The 14,968-nt window shown below is 39.9% G+C and overlaps 1 protein-coding gene and 1 long non-coding RNA gene across 25 annotated transcripts in view; one reads left to right on the forward strand and one right to left on the reverse strand.

Annotated features, from left to right (window-relative positions):
* Positions 1-10,174, reverse strand: part of CDC42BPA (CDC42 binding protein kinase alpha) — a 328,635-nt gene extending 318,461 nt beyond the window's left edge. For all 24 annotated transcript variants that reach the window (NM_001366011.1, XM_017002580.3, NM_014826.5 and 21 more), the window contains exon 1: positions 8,687-10,174. In NM_001366011.1, coding sequence (NP_001352940.1) covers positions 8,687-8,864 — 178 coding nt within the window. In that variant the 5' untranslated portion in view covers positions 8,865-10,174. The remainder of the gene's footprint in view (positions 1-8,686) is intronic.
* Positions 10,175-10,273: 99 nt separating this feature from the next.
* Positions 10,274-11,743, forward strand: LOC124904531 (uncharacterized). The gene is made up of 2 exons (XR_007066911.1): positions 10,274-10,680; positions 10,796-11,743. It is a non-coding gene; the product is annotated as an uncharacterized LOC124904531 (long non-coding RNA).
* The last annotated feature ends 3,225 nt before the right edge of the window (positions 11,744-14,968 follow it).

A 14,968-nucleotide genomic window follows, 5' to 3' on the forward strand; every position in this document is an offset into this window, starting at 1 on the left:
AACATGGTGAAACCTTGTGTCTACTAAAATACAAGAAAAAAATTAGCCAGGCATGGCAGCGTGCACCTGTAGTCCCAGCTCCTTGGGAGGCTGAGGCAGAAGAATTGCCTGACCTCGGGAGGTAGAGGCTGCAGTGAGCTAAGATCACGCCACTGCACTCCAGCCTGGGCAACACAGTGAGACTGTATCTCAAAAAAAAAAAAAAAAAAACAGAATGGGAAGCAAGCTGACAAAATACAACCATAAATCACCAGAAAAGGAAGAATCCTAAACCAACTTTTAACTTTTTAGAAAAATAAACTATTAGTCTTATGTCCATTTTTCATAAAGAGACATAGGGAGGTTAAATAACTAAATCACCCAGTTAATAATCAAAGCAGTCAGTCTTAATCCAAAACCCCTTGCTCTTTTCCAGTATATTGGTTTAGAACAGAAACATTTCAGGTTAGGTGTTCTACTTGTAGATATTCACCATGGAAACTCTAAGGAAACTGGATTAAGTGTTATCACTATGAATAGACCAAATTAAACAGAAGGTGTTTTTGTCTTTGATTAAGCCTACAGTGACGTTTAAGCAATCTGAAATAAAACTGAAAGTTAACACATGATTGCACATGACTGAAATAATTCACAATCTTTTCAAAAGATTGTTTTCATCCATATAAGTAGTACTTTGCAGTATAATTAGATCAGGAGTGGGAAGAATGGCACTGGTGAGGAAGAGTTAAAGAGAAAAATAAATCTAAATCAGAAAAAAGAAAAAAGGCCAGGTGCGGCTGCTCACATCTGTAATCCCAGCACTTTGGGGAGGCCAAGGTCAGAGAATTGCTTGAGGCTAGGAGTTCAAGACCAGCGTGGACAACATAGTGAGACCCTATCTCTACCAAAAAAAAAAAAAAAAAAATAAGCAAGAAAACTAATTTTATTCCCCTATATGCTGTCTGTCTTTAAACAATGAAACTAGATTGTCCTCTATGATTATTATCTGGCCTCCCAAAAACTCTGAACAAAAGTTAATAGTAACCACAGCTTTAATTGTTCACACAATGCCAAAATAGCACCAATTATGTTTTCTCCTTAATAAAAGTATATATTTTCTAGTTTCCTTAACAGTATATATAAATAGTTGCTGGCACTAGAAACACAGCGCTTCATGGATGTAATAAATAGTAGTAAAGTTCCCACACTAGTCCAAAAGTCTGAAACCAATGGCCTAGCCAAAATGTGTTACACTGCAAAAAACAATACTTAACACTGTAACAGGATTTTAAAACTATGAGTCCATGATATTTTCCTCTTAAAAATCACAAAGTAATGAATGTAATCTCTTCAGATAGACAATAGTTTTGCAACATCTACAGTAATGAAAGCTGTAAAAAATAAAGTGACAATTTCTGTATTTAATGTAAATGCCTACACATAAAGAAAAGTAAGCTTAATTAGAGCAGGAAAAGGTCATAATTAAGAGATCTCTCAGTAATTTCAAGGACTTTAGGGGTTGACAGCAGTGGTTCATTATGATGTCAAATTTCACTCTACTTTTTAGGGTGCTTTTCTTAGATGTAATTTTACCAACAGCATCACTCATGTTATTTCACCATGATTAAATTTATCTTTCAGTGCACATGACTTTCACACAGAAAATGAAGTTCACAGCCACTAAGTAAAATATAACCTATTCAGATTTGGATTCTCTCTCCAATCCACACGATATCCCAAATTTCTCTCAAAATTTCTTTCTAACCCTGCTACTCAGGAAGTTACAAGGAAAACCATGACCTTATACTGGAAGAACATTTCCCAAAGCGTATTCTGTGAAACACTGGTTGCCAGCCATCCTCCAGACGCTCTGAAAAAAAGCCTATTCCATAGTCAGATAAACTTCATAAATTCTAGGATAATCTGCTGTATTTTTAACATTAAATGTTGTCTAAAATCTTTTCCCAAACTGATTTATTCATATAAACCTTTCCCCTTGCTCAAGCATCTATTAAATATCCCATGGATTTCCAGAACACACTTTGAAACTAGGGAGGGAGGTTAGAGTGAAGAGGCCCTAATCCCAAAAGAGAAGCAAACAGTTCCATGAGGAAGAGTAAAGGCAAACAGTGGGATTGGAAAGGGGGAGCCAGGTCTTTGTGCCCCGTTAACATGAAAGCTAAAGTGCTGCTCTCATACAGTGATAGATAAAGAAACACTAGCCAATAGAAGATTAGCCATTCCCTACGTACTGATTAGAAAAAGAGATGGCAGTCATAGGAAGGAAGTGTGTAGAAGCTAGCTAGAAAGAATAATCCTGGAGTTCTACTCACCATTAATGGAGAAGAAAAGGAAGTCCCCCAGATTTGGAAAGGAGTTTTTTTTTTTGTTTTTTGTTTTTTTTTTTGAGACAGAGTCTTGCTCTGTCGCCCAGACTGGAGTGCAGTGGCGCGATCTCGGCTCACTGCAAGCTCTGACTCCTGGGTTCACGCCATTCTCCCACCTCAGCCTCCTGAGTAGCTGGGACTACAGGCACCCGTCACCGCGCCCGGCTAATTTTTTTTTTTGAATTTTTAGTAGAGACGCGGTTTCACCATGTTAGCCAGGATGGTCTCAATCTCCTGACCTCGTGATCCGCCCACCTCGGCCTCCCAAAGTGCTGGGATTACAGGCGTAAACCACCGCACCCGGCCAAGGAGTTTTTATATACAACAAAAAACTTGTGTCTGGGATAATCCATACTTACAGTGTGGGTAATTCAAAAACAAAAATCACACGAAGTGCAGATGATCACACTTGCAATTCCAACACTTTGGAAGCCCAAGGCAGGCGGATCACTTGAGGGCAGGAGTTTGAGACCAGTCAGGACAACATAATGAGACCCCCCATCTCCACACACACAAAAATTTTTTAATTAGCTGGGCATGGTGGCACATGCTTGTAGCTCCAGCTACTTGGTAAGCTGAGACAGGAGGATCCTGAGCCCAGGAGGTTGAGGCTGTAGTGAGCCATGATGGTCTCTCATAACAATTATTATGCAAAGACTTCTTGACTCATCAAGACAGGGCAAAAGGAGCTAAGCAATTCTTGGTCCTCGATACCTAAAACTGGCAGTTTCCTGAGCAACAAATGATGAGAAAAAATCTGATAGAACTAGCAAATCCTCACCTACATCTACCCTAGAGTTCAGCTGAAGTGATGAGAAGCTAAAACCAAGAAACTACTACCTTTGTTTATAGGTCATATGGTTATCACTCAAACTCAAAAACGTATATACCTCTGACAATCAATCAAAGTCAATGCCCATTAGCCCAAACTCAGAAACGGAAAAAAACAAAGGAAGAGACAATAAACCATTGAAAGAAATACAAGAGTGAAATTAACTCCCCTGCCCATTAAGTTCTTTTAAATTAAAAATACCCAATCATAAAAAAAAAAAATACCCTATCATTCAACAAGTCAGACTGAAGTAGCAACTCAGGAACACAGTATTCATTCTCATTCTCTGTCTCCCTCTCCCTACTCATTCTCTTTTTCTCCCTCCCCCATGTCTCCTCTTCCCATCTATTTCCAAGTCTGTATCTTGCCCATACCTTACACTCTTTCCCTTCACTAGGTTCTTGAGTAAGTCCCTAATCTATCGTGTGTCCTTTTTGAAAAAATGAACTGTCTATATTTTCACTGTTTAACAGTCAACATAGCATAGCTGCACCTACACTGAAGTATTTCAAACTATTTTTATCTCAACCTATAGTAAGAAATATGGGAATAAGGACTACAGGAAAACACAATGTTTTGCACAACAATACTTATTCCTTCTATATTTGATGTACTTTATATTTTCTATTCTAGTCTTTAATTTTTTTTAAATGCTGGTTAGACTTAGTAATTGGTTTTAAAACCTATCACAACCAGCAGGAGAAAAACAATGAGCTACATACGTAACATACTGTCAATAAATGTACCAAATGAGAAAAAGGTCAGAGAATAAATTTTTGACTGCCATAAAAGAGTGGTACAATAAAATATTTATTTGAGCTAAATTATTTTATCCTAAAATAGCCTGAGCTTACTGTGTAATAGTATTCAAGTCCTAGGAATTATGGGACATTTCATAAAATTTCCAACATACTGCACTATTTGTTTTTATATACTGCTATACTAAGGTATGCCTTACATTTCCATATAAAATAAATATATGTCTAAAATTCCTAAAGTGTTAATCCTGACATCCTGTTTTCACTCATGAAGCAATACATTCCTTTTTTAAAAAAGCTGGGTGTGGTGGTGCATGCCTGTAATCCCAGCTCTTTAAGAGGCTGAGGTGGGAGGATCTCTTGAGCCCAGGAGTTCAAGACCAGCCTAGGTAACACAGTAAGACCCTTGACATGGTTTGGATTTGTGCCGTCACCCAAATCTCATGTCAAACTGTAATCCCAGTGTTGGAGGAGGGACCTGGCGGGAGGTGACTGGATCATGGGGGCAGACTTCCCCTTTGTGTTGTGATAGTGAGTGAGTTCTCACAAGATCTGGTTGTTTAAAAGCGTGTAGCATCTCCCCCTTCTCTCTCTTCCTCCCACTCCAGCCATGCAGGACGGGGTCGGCTTCTCCTTTGCCTTTTACCATGATTGCAAGTTTCCTGAGGCCTCCCCTGCATGCCTCCTTGTAGCCTGCGGAACTGTGAGCCAATCAAACCTCTTTTCTCTATAAATTACTCAGTCTTAGGTAGTTCTTTATAGCAATGCGAGAACAGACTAACAAAACCCTGTCTCTAAAATAAAGCAATACATAAAATAAAAAGAGTAATGTTCCTAAAAACAATTATAATACAACCCTGTCTCTAAAATAAATCAATACATAATATAAAAGGGTGATGTTCCTAAAAACAAAAAAATTACTAATGAACATCAAGTATTTCAAAGACTTTAGGGGTTAACAGCACTAGTTCATTATACCTAAGTTCACTCTACTTTATAGGGAATTTTTCCTAGATGTAATTTTATCAACAGCATCACTCCTATGCTATTCCATCATGAATGCCAGTAACCAGTATCATCTGGCAACTACCTCTAAGTGTAATTTCTCTTAAAAAGAGAGAGACAAACAGAAATGTTATAATAATAGCCATTACATCTATTGAACACACTTCTACCATGTGCCAGCATTGTACTAGATAAAATAATTGTAATTACTCATTATCATTCCTAGAATAGAATATTAGGTGGCTAGTATAAAGGAAACAAGTACCCAACCAATATTGCTGATTATTCTAGTTGAGAACTTAAATAAAATAAATGTAATCATCTGTATTAAGTGAACATTTTGATAATTCGGACTGATTAATTAATAAATTCTACTCAGGAAAAGCTAACAATGAGGAACAGCATATGTGAAGAACAAAAGTGTCCTAGAAAAGATACATATCCATCAACACCTCACTTAATTAACACTCGTGTCATAAAAAAAAAGTGAACAGCTTTAAAACTATACTAATAAAAAGAAAAGCTTAAAGCATAGTACCTGCTGATATGCTCTAGGTACAAATTTATTAAACAGACTATTTTCTATGTATATACAAAATCTGAATAAGCTATAAAATTAGTTATTTAGTGATAATTTCTGTATGTTACAAAGTCCAAAATTCAAAAAGCATCAAAATAGTTATCCATGTACAGACAGCCTTGCATATTTATTTTGTATTAATATTATCTTACATTTATTAAGTAAATTGGTAAATAATTCCCCAAAATTCCAATTTCCCATTTCAAAGTAGGGGGTGGCCGATTTAACGAATGATATACTAATTCAGTCATTACTAGCAAATTAGTTTACAATGTGGAAGTTATTTTTACTTCTACAACTCCACTGTAATTTATTCTAGAGTTATGCTGACATCGACTATTACTGTATACACAAACATACAAACCATAATCATTTCAACAACTTAAAACTAAGCAGACAAAAAACATAGTCTTTCAAATACTATTTACTATAAATGAAAAATAATACATCTTATTAAATTTAAATGTGATCTATAGTCTTAAGGCACTTTTATTCCCTTGCTCTAGTGATCATTGGCTTAATCCTCTCTTTCTCTTTCCACTTATTTCCTCCCTCAAGCCATCAGCACCAAAAGCAAGAAAGGCTGTCAAAGAAAAACAACATATCTGACTTTGAATTGTCAGTTTTCTTATTGTTTTGATACTGCTATGAACAAAACATTAACTGTACCAATATAAAAATAAAATGGACTAAAACTAGGAATAAAATGAAATTGATAGAAATGAAGCTGAATACAGCCGGTAAGAATCTTGGCTGACTGTACTTTAAGAGTAATCTATCATCAGCATAAAGATAAGTAGCATCTAGCTGACACTTTCATTAATATAAATAACGAACACAAATATGTAACAACTTGTGTTATTAATACTGCGTTCCTGTTGCAAATAGTCTTTTAAAGATTTAAATAAAAGACAATATTTTTTCAATTATTAAAAATTAAACTTAAAATTACACCATTTAAGGCAAATCTAAATTACCAAATTTAACCCCAACAACAATCCCTGTAAATTTCCACCAGAGTCCCAAAAAATAATGTTTAGAACACTGAACTGAGGTCAATTCACAATTTGGAAATATTCTTAGTCTTAACTGATTTTCACATATTGTTAAGTAATTAAAATAAAATAGGACATTTCCCCAAAATGCAGTTATCAATTCATATGAAGAACATCTGATCTATTTCAATTCTTAAATAGACTGGCACTCTTAACCTAAATTCTCAAATAACTTAAAGACAGCAAATACCACTACTCACTACGCAACTCCTGACAGCCTTTTCCATTCTTAACTTTCTTTTTACTCTTTATCCAGACTTCCATACTAATAAAAATAATACTCAGCCAAATACTTATTTGATATTTGGCTTATATAAAAATATACATAAATGAGGTGTTCTTATACATATATAAGAAACAACATCCAAGAAAACATATTTAATGGAAAATATATATAAATTATTCTGATAATACAGCGAAATATCTCATAACATAAAACTACTTACCTAAACTCTAATAATCAGAAGGCAATGGAGGATACAGTTTTCTCTTTATCATAAATCATTTAAAATTATATTTACTACTGGTACATAGAGTTCTCCCATAGCTTCGCAGATAGGAAAGAATACTAAATGACAAAAATCACAGACTAGAGTGTCATTAAGGAACCATAACTTAAGAACTCAAGTTCCAACTCTAAAAGTACCAAAACCCTTTAAGTCTTAAAAAAAAAAATTAACACTACAGAATTTCTCAATTTGTGAAACATGGGATGTAAAACTACATATGCTTTACAAAATACTTTATTCAACAAATAAAAGACGTATACTCACAAAACCAGTACCAAAGCCAAAATTGTCTCACTCTTAAGTGAGAAGTTACTTGAAAGATGGTTTAGATTTCTTACATTCCCAGGATGAGTCTGGCAGTCTGTTTTGAAAAGTTATTCTATTCACATTTACATATTTTTTTAAACCTTATGACATCACATTGCTAGAAACCTTCTTATACTGGCAAATTGAATAATTAAAGTTATTACGTGTAGACATTCTTGTATCAGTGGTTTACCTGAGAAACTAACTTTGAATAAATTTCAAATCCAAAAAAAAAAAAAAAAAAAGACACAATCAGCACTTGACTTTTACTTCAGGAAAATAAAGTTTTACTTGGGAACAGATATTTTAGCATAAGAACTTAGCATAAGAACAAACTAAAATGATTAGTATTCCAAAGGTACAAAATCATATTTGGCCAAAATCCTTCAAAAGCCAACGTACCACTACTACAGACAGATCTGGGTGACGATGCGTGCTTATTGCAACAGTGAACTTCTGGACCTTAGAATGTGCCCTGTATGTAACAGCAGACGCTGAAGAACTTGAGCCAAGCCTTCAAGCTTGAAGGTCATGGAGCGTTTGCTCACATCATTGATCTATTCCACTACAGTAGGTCTTCTAAATCACATCTATATTTAGAAGAATGAAGCCAAAAACCTAACCAGTTTAGATTTAAATTAACTTTCGAGTAAAATCTAACTCTCAAGTGGAAGCTGCCCCCAAACATTCTCTAACTACTATCACAAGATTTTTAAACTATGTCATTTAATCTTACAAACATAATTTTTGGAAAGTCCATGTTTAGCAGTTTCCTTTCCTTGTACTATGTAGAGATGAAATAAAACCCACTGATCACCACCTTCAGCTTTCTGTTGACCTAAGGCAAACACAGATATTTTAATATCTCCTCCTATTTTGAGAATAATTTCCATAGTCTGAATGTTTCCACCAATAAATACCTTTCAAATGAAGGACTATTATAGTGCCATGTATTAGGCAACTGTAACCAATAATCCACTTTTGCCCATCACAGAATTGATTTAAAATCTCTTACTGTTGACCTAAAAACATAAGTTCTTCATAGCCAAGTTCCACATTAGCTAGGCCTTAAATCAAGGCAACAATTGAGCAGCACAATTCTACTCCTGGGAAAATATTTACCAAAAACTAGCGGAAAATCTTGAATAACTAGTGTCTGTTTTTTTATTGTATTTTTTCTTTGAACGGAGTAGAGTTTACTCATAACTCTCTATACCAATTAAATCATAATGACCAGCTAAAGATTAACAGTTTCTTTAAAAATTACAAACTTACCCCATTCTAGGTATTCGAGAATGTTCTTCTCTCTTCTCAATGGAGAATTATTGCATTCATCATAAAGGCAGATGAGTATATCCAGTAATGTCTCCACACTGAAGCACTGCCCATTGGTCTGAGCGGGCCCGTCCAAAATAAACTGCTCCAACTGCCTCAAACGCACTTCTCCAGACATGTTTGCTTCGATTTCTGCTGGTTTTCCTTTAAATTATTATGATGACTTTTACTATTATCTGAACCTAAATTTTAAAAGGTATGGTTTTAAAAATAAACCACTTGTTATTCAAACAACTGTCATGCAATGCTGGTGCTGAATTAAACATCCAACACACCAGTAACCTCACTTAACTGAAGCGTCTTCAATTTCACCCATATACATATATTTTGAGGGTAAATTACCATAAAATATATACTTAATGCATTTTTAAAAGAATACAATTAAGTCGTATATTTAAATAAAATAATAATTAAAAGTACAACGAACTAGAGAGTCAACACTTCTTTAAAAAAAAAAAAAAAAACTCTTCTCCTTCATTCAAAATTCAACTCGTGCAACGTAATCCTGAAACGAATCCGGTTGCATCATTAATGAATAAAGTCCGATTTGCATCAGCAATTCACTTCCCGGGAAGAAGAAAAACAGAAAAGGGAGGAAAAAAACAGAATGCATAGAAGGGGGAGGGAAAACCAAAAATGTTGCTGCAAATCCTCCCAACCACCACTTGGATAATGCATCAGCGGCAATTTCTCCAGCGGGAAAGGGAGGGGGCGAGGTCCCTGAAGCAGCCCCTCGGCTCGGAGCACGCCAAGTCTTGCCCGGAGGCGGCTTTTCGTTTCTCCTCCCGAGGTCCTTCTTTCTTTAAGGCTTTGCAGTCAGTCCTATTTTCAACGGATTCCGGTGAAAACTCTTCATTTTCCTCCCGGCTTCACCCTAGGGCCTGACCGGCGGCGCGGCCGGGGGTGGAAGGCGGGCTGCGGGCGGCACTGGCACCGGGCTCCGGAGAAGCGGCTACTTGGCCGCCCGAGCCCACTCCATGTCGGTGGTCGCTCGTGGGCCGAGCCGCGCCGCGCCGCGCCGGGCAGAGAGCCCGGTCTCCCCGACACCCGCACCGGGCCGCCGCGCCGGAGGCTCCCGACGCCCCAGGCGGGGGGGTGCTTCTCTGAATTCAAAGGACACAAGCAGCAGCAGCTGCGGCGGCGGCGCGGGCGGCTCTGGCAGCTACTTCTCCCCCTTCTTCACACCCCTGGGCTAAGGGCATCTTTCCACAGCGAGGAGGGAGGCGGCCCGGCGCAGGAGGAGGGGTCGCTTCCGCGGCTGAGGAGACTAGAGGCTGCGGCAGCCCGGCTCCCAACCACTCCCTTCCTCTCCCTTCCAGCCCTCCCCCGCCTTCCCTCTCCTCTCGCGCTCGCGCCCTGGGCTCAGCGAGGCTCCTCCAGTCCCGCCGCACAGAGGCGGAGGCTTGCGGACGAGTCTGGATCCAATATGGCGGCCTGGCCCCCCGGCCCCGGCACACGCGCGCGCACACGCCCTCCACTCCCCGCCCCCGCCCTGCCCGAGCCTCAGCCCCAGCCGGCGGCCAAGCCGGGCGGGGTCCGGCCGGCGCGCCCAGCGGAGGCCCCCAAGGGGGCGCGGGCTCGGGGCCCGAGTGGCTGCGCCAGCCCGAGGGGAGGGGTGTGGACTGCCTAGGCGGCGAGGCTGCGGCTGCCGCAGCGTGGAATGCGGAGCTGCGGGAGGGCTGAGGGAGGCCCGGGCGGCGGTGGCGGAGCATATGGAGGCGGGATGACCGGGCCGCGCCGGGAGCTGCGGCGGGACTGGGCGCAGGCTGGGAACTGCGCCACCGCCGCGCCGTGGCCCCGGCTCCCCGAGGCTTCTGGTGCAGATCGCGAAGGGGGGCTCCTGCTCGTCCTCGGAGACATCACCTGTCTGGCGCGTTTGTTAAGGGCGCCCAGAAGCAGAGGGCTTTAGGCTTCCGACAGAGCTGGAGGAGACGGTGCCTTTCAGCCCCTTACCTGCTCCCCACCGGCCCCCCAGATTCGGTTCGCGCACACTCCAGAGTAATCGTTTCTTAGGTGTCTAATTACAGCACTTCGTGTGTCATTTCCCAGGACAAAAACAATGACAGACTTGTCCGAGCTACCATCGAAGTCTTGGGTCTGCACGCAAAGGATGGAATCCCCCATCTCCATTCCCAAAAGTTTCCCTACGGGAGCCTGGTGTTGTCTCCTCCGGAACTGTCCTCGCGGCTGCCTGTTTTTCCCTAGCCATGGTTACTGCCTGCGGGGGATTCAGCCTGTGAAGGCAGTCAAGGCAGTTCACCACTGTCATCAAACCTACACCCCTGTGTGCATGCGCACACACACTTGTAACCCAGTGGCACAATGCAGGAATTAGGGAAGCAAAGGCAAATCGCTGAATAGCTAGGGCACCTGATCCCTGTAGGGCCCTTCCAGGTTTTTGTGAATCTCGGTTTTAGGAGAGCTCCCTTTATAAAATTCTCATGGAAGATGCCACATTTAAATTAACACCACAAAACTAGGTCATTGCAGTTCTGTTACTTTCTCTCAAAATTGCCATCTCCTTTATGGTCGTTCTCTAAAATACAATTATTTTATATTCCTTCCCCACACCTGTGAGGCGGTTGTGTTTCTATGTTCATGTCCACAATTGCATCTTACATCTTGATAATATGGAAGCTGAGGAAGAATTAGAAATGAGGGCCTAGACGTAAAATGAAGGCTAACAGAAGTCGATTCAAGTTGTGATTCATGAAATAGTGTGAATCTTTTATGAAATCTACAACGTCTACACTTGCCTGGCTTAAGAACAGCATTATTTTCAATGCGGTCTTGACATGAATGATACTTAGATTCAAACAAAAGGTCAGTCATTTCCAGCCATGACATCTTTATATGGGTGTGTGTTGTCTAATTCTAAAAGTAGTAGAAAAGTTTAATCCTAACACAGATAATAAGCAATATTTTGGTGTTTATTATTCAAGTCTTTTTCCTATGCACTTTAACAAAAATGATACATAATAAAAGAGTTTTATAGCCTCTTGCTTGCAATTAGCAATATATTATGGACATTTTTTCAGTTCAACAAACATTCTTCAACAACATGGATTTTAATGGTGAAGCCAATTTTAACAGTTTCATTTGACCATAAGATGCGGTAGCAAAGAAGGAAGCAATTTCTTCTGCTTTTTCAAGTACGGTTAACTAAAGAAATGGCTCCAAGATACCTGCTTTTCCAACTTACAAATAACTAGAAAGAAGTTTAAAGGAGAACCTAAAACATGTTAGGTCTCACTAAATGCTAATTGACAATGGAAGTATATGAGATGTAGATACTTTTTTTTTTTTTAACAAAAGAGTCAAGCTGTCAGTTCTTTACCTATTCTATTAGCGCTTGGGTACCACCCACAGTCCAGGGTATTGATGGTTGCTAAATAACCCTTTCCACATTATTTAGAAAGTAGAGAGCAGAATTTATTTTTATTTTAAAAAACACACACACAAAGAGAAGGAAGGAGCTTGAACCCAATCAATTTTGCTTGAATAATTCAAGCTCAGAGACTTAATAATTAACTAGACACTAAACACATTGTGCGGGTGTTATTTTAAATGTTCCGGTTGAAGTGTGAACATGCTTGTTAATGAAACCGGTCTTAAGCCAAAGAAAGGCACAGCCCAGCAGCTGTACAGTGCTTGAAGTGTTCCTGCAAAACAAGAGTGCCACAGGCTGCCTCGCAGGGTATTCTTTGGGGAAAAATAGTCTGGAGGAGGTCTTCTTTGTGAAATTCTGCTTGGGGGCCTGGAGATTAGATGTATACCACTGCAAACACCCAATTTGTTTGAAATAATCAGAGAATGTTTTATGAAGATGCTGGGAATTAATCTGACCATTCAGAAAAGAAAGAGGACAGGAGAAGACAAGAAGGTAGGAAGGTGGAAAGAAGAAGGCAGGACAGAAATCATTAAGCCTAGTCCCCAATACAAGCTCTCTTCAACTAATCCTCCAATTCAGGGCTAAAAGCAGGAGAATTAATCCACCAATTAATATTTATAACAGTCAGCCTCACTCTCACCTTGGTATATCTAACTTCAGAATAACTATAGGGTCATTGCTGGAGAACGGAGCCAAAAACAAGGTGCGTGCCACAGTAGGGCTTAATGTATAGCAACACTGAGGATGTTTTACCACATCTCCTTTTAGCCTAGCCACATCCTGACCCTGCAAATGAATGACTTGGCTTAGTACCCTCCCAGGATAAAATGCCAGCAAATGCCTGTCCTGTCTTCATGTCAGGCTCCTGACATGAGTGAGATCAACTGCAAGGGCTTGTATATAAAAAAGAAACTTTCTGATTAATAATTGCTTCCTTTACAGAACACTTAACAACCTGTAAACACTGTCCTGGGTAGTTTGAGCTCATGTTTTATTCAATCATCATAACCATATGAAGTAGGGAAATTACCTCTATATCACAGACGATGGAAGAAGCTGAGGCTTAGAGATCTTAACTTGTGAAAGATCACACAACTAGTAATTGACACAGGAGCTACAAGTCAACACCAGGCCTGTCTCATGCCAGTGCCCATGGCTTTAATCACAAAGCAAGTGAGGTCTAAAAAATCTGCAGGTTCTATAAACTCAACTTTTCCTTCCTATTGTAACAAGGAAGAAGTGGGATGTGTTGTTAATTCACATATTTGGGCATTAGAAGTTGATATGAGGGCAAAAGAAAGAACTACGCACATGATTATATCAGAGTTCAACCAAAAAAGCAGAAATCACCTATTTATTTAAACCAGAGAAAGCTTTTTTTTTGAGACAAAGTCTCACTCTGTCTCCCAGGCTGGAGTGCAGTGGCGTGATCACATGCTCACTGTAACCTCCATCTCCCTGATTCAAGCGATTCTCCTGCCTCAGCCTCCCAAATAGCTGGGACTACAGGCACATGCCATCACATCCAGCTAATTTTCTTTTCTTTTTTTTTTTTTTTTTGAGACAAGTCTTGCTCTGTTGCCCAGGCTGGAATGCAGTGGCACAATCTCAGCTCACTGCAAGCTCTGCTTCCCGGGTTCACACCATTCTCCTGCTGCAGCCTCCCAAGTAGCTGGGACTGCAGGCACCCCCTACCACACCTGGCTAAGTTTTTGTATTTTTAGTAGAGACGCGGTTTCACTGTGTTAGCCAGGATGGTCTCGATCTCCTGACCTTGTGATCTGCCCGCCTCAGCCTCCCAAAGTGCTGGGATTACAGGTGTGAGCCACCGCGCCTGGCCCACATCTGGCTAATTTTCTTGTATTTTTAGTAGTGACAGGGCTATGTTGGCCAGGCTGGTCTTGAACTCCTGACCTCAAATGATCCTCCCGCCTCAAATGCTGGGATTACAGGCGTGAGCCACTGTGCCCGACCAAAACCAGAGAAACCTTAATTCTGACACATGGTTCCATGGATGGTGGAAGAGCTGAGGAAATGCAGGGCAAGTCAGGTAACCCAGTTTGGCAGCAGCAGGAAGCTATTCCCACCCCTAGGCTGGTGGAAGCTAAAACCAGGGCTGGTGGGAGATGGAGCCACAGAAGAGATGCAAATGCTACAGGGGAGGCTGCCATAGTCAGAGAGAGGGGAGGAGAATCCTCTTACCACAAATCTCCTGTCATTTGAAGCTAACACGGAGCCTCTGAAAGGGAGGCTGCATGACTGGTCCCCAAAGACAGAGTAGAGCAGGCAATGGGTAAGAAATGAATGCAAGAGCAAACAGGCAGAATTTGCACACATATAATCAACACAGTTATAGTTTAACCGAAACTATAATAAAATCAATAAAACAAATGTTTTATCTCTGAACAACCATTAAGTAGATTTTGACGTGGCATTATTTAAACATAGGAGAAGTTTTTACCTTTTCCTTTTCAAATTTGTTTTTTGTTTTGTTTTGTTTTGGTTGTTGCTGTTGTTGTTTTGTCCCTCAAGAAGTTAAAAAACAATCCAACCCTCATTAGGGCAGGTTTACTTAGGTATACAGACTAATAGTTTCCACTTGCTTGTCAATGGATCTTGTCCATCTTGCCCTATCTTTAAATTTATCATTTAAAATCTCTCACTAAAGCTCTACTATAAATGGGACTTTCCAAAATATGTTTAGAATCAAACATTATAATACAGATATTGTCGGCTATTAGAGCTACTTAGCAAATTTGAACACTGCAAAGATAAGTGGCATTCTTTCATAAATTCTATCAGCAGAAAACATTTGATAAAGACTGTATTGC

The sequence above is a fragment of the Homo sapiens genome, chromosome 1 (assembly GCF_000001405.40).
Source record: "Homo sapiens chromosome 1, GRCh38.p14 Primary Assembly".
Classification (NCBI taxonomy): Eukaryota; Metazoa; Chordata; class Mammalia; order Primates; family Hominidae; genus Homo; species Homo sapiens.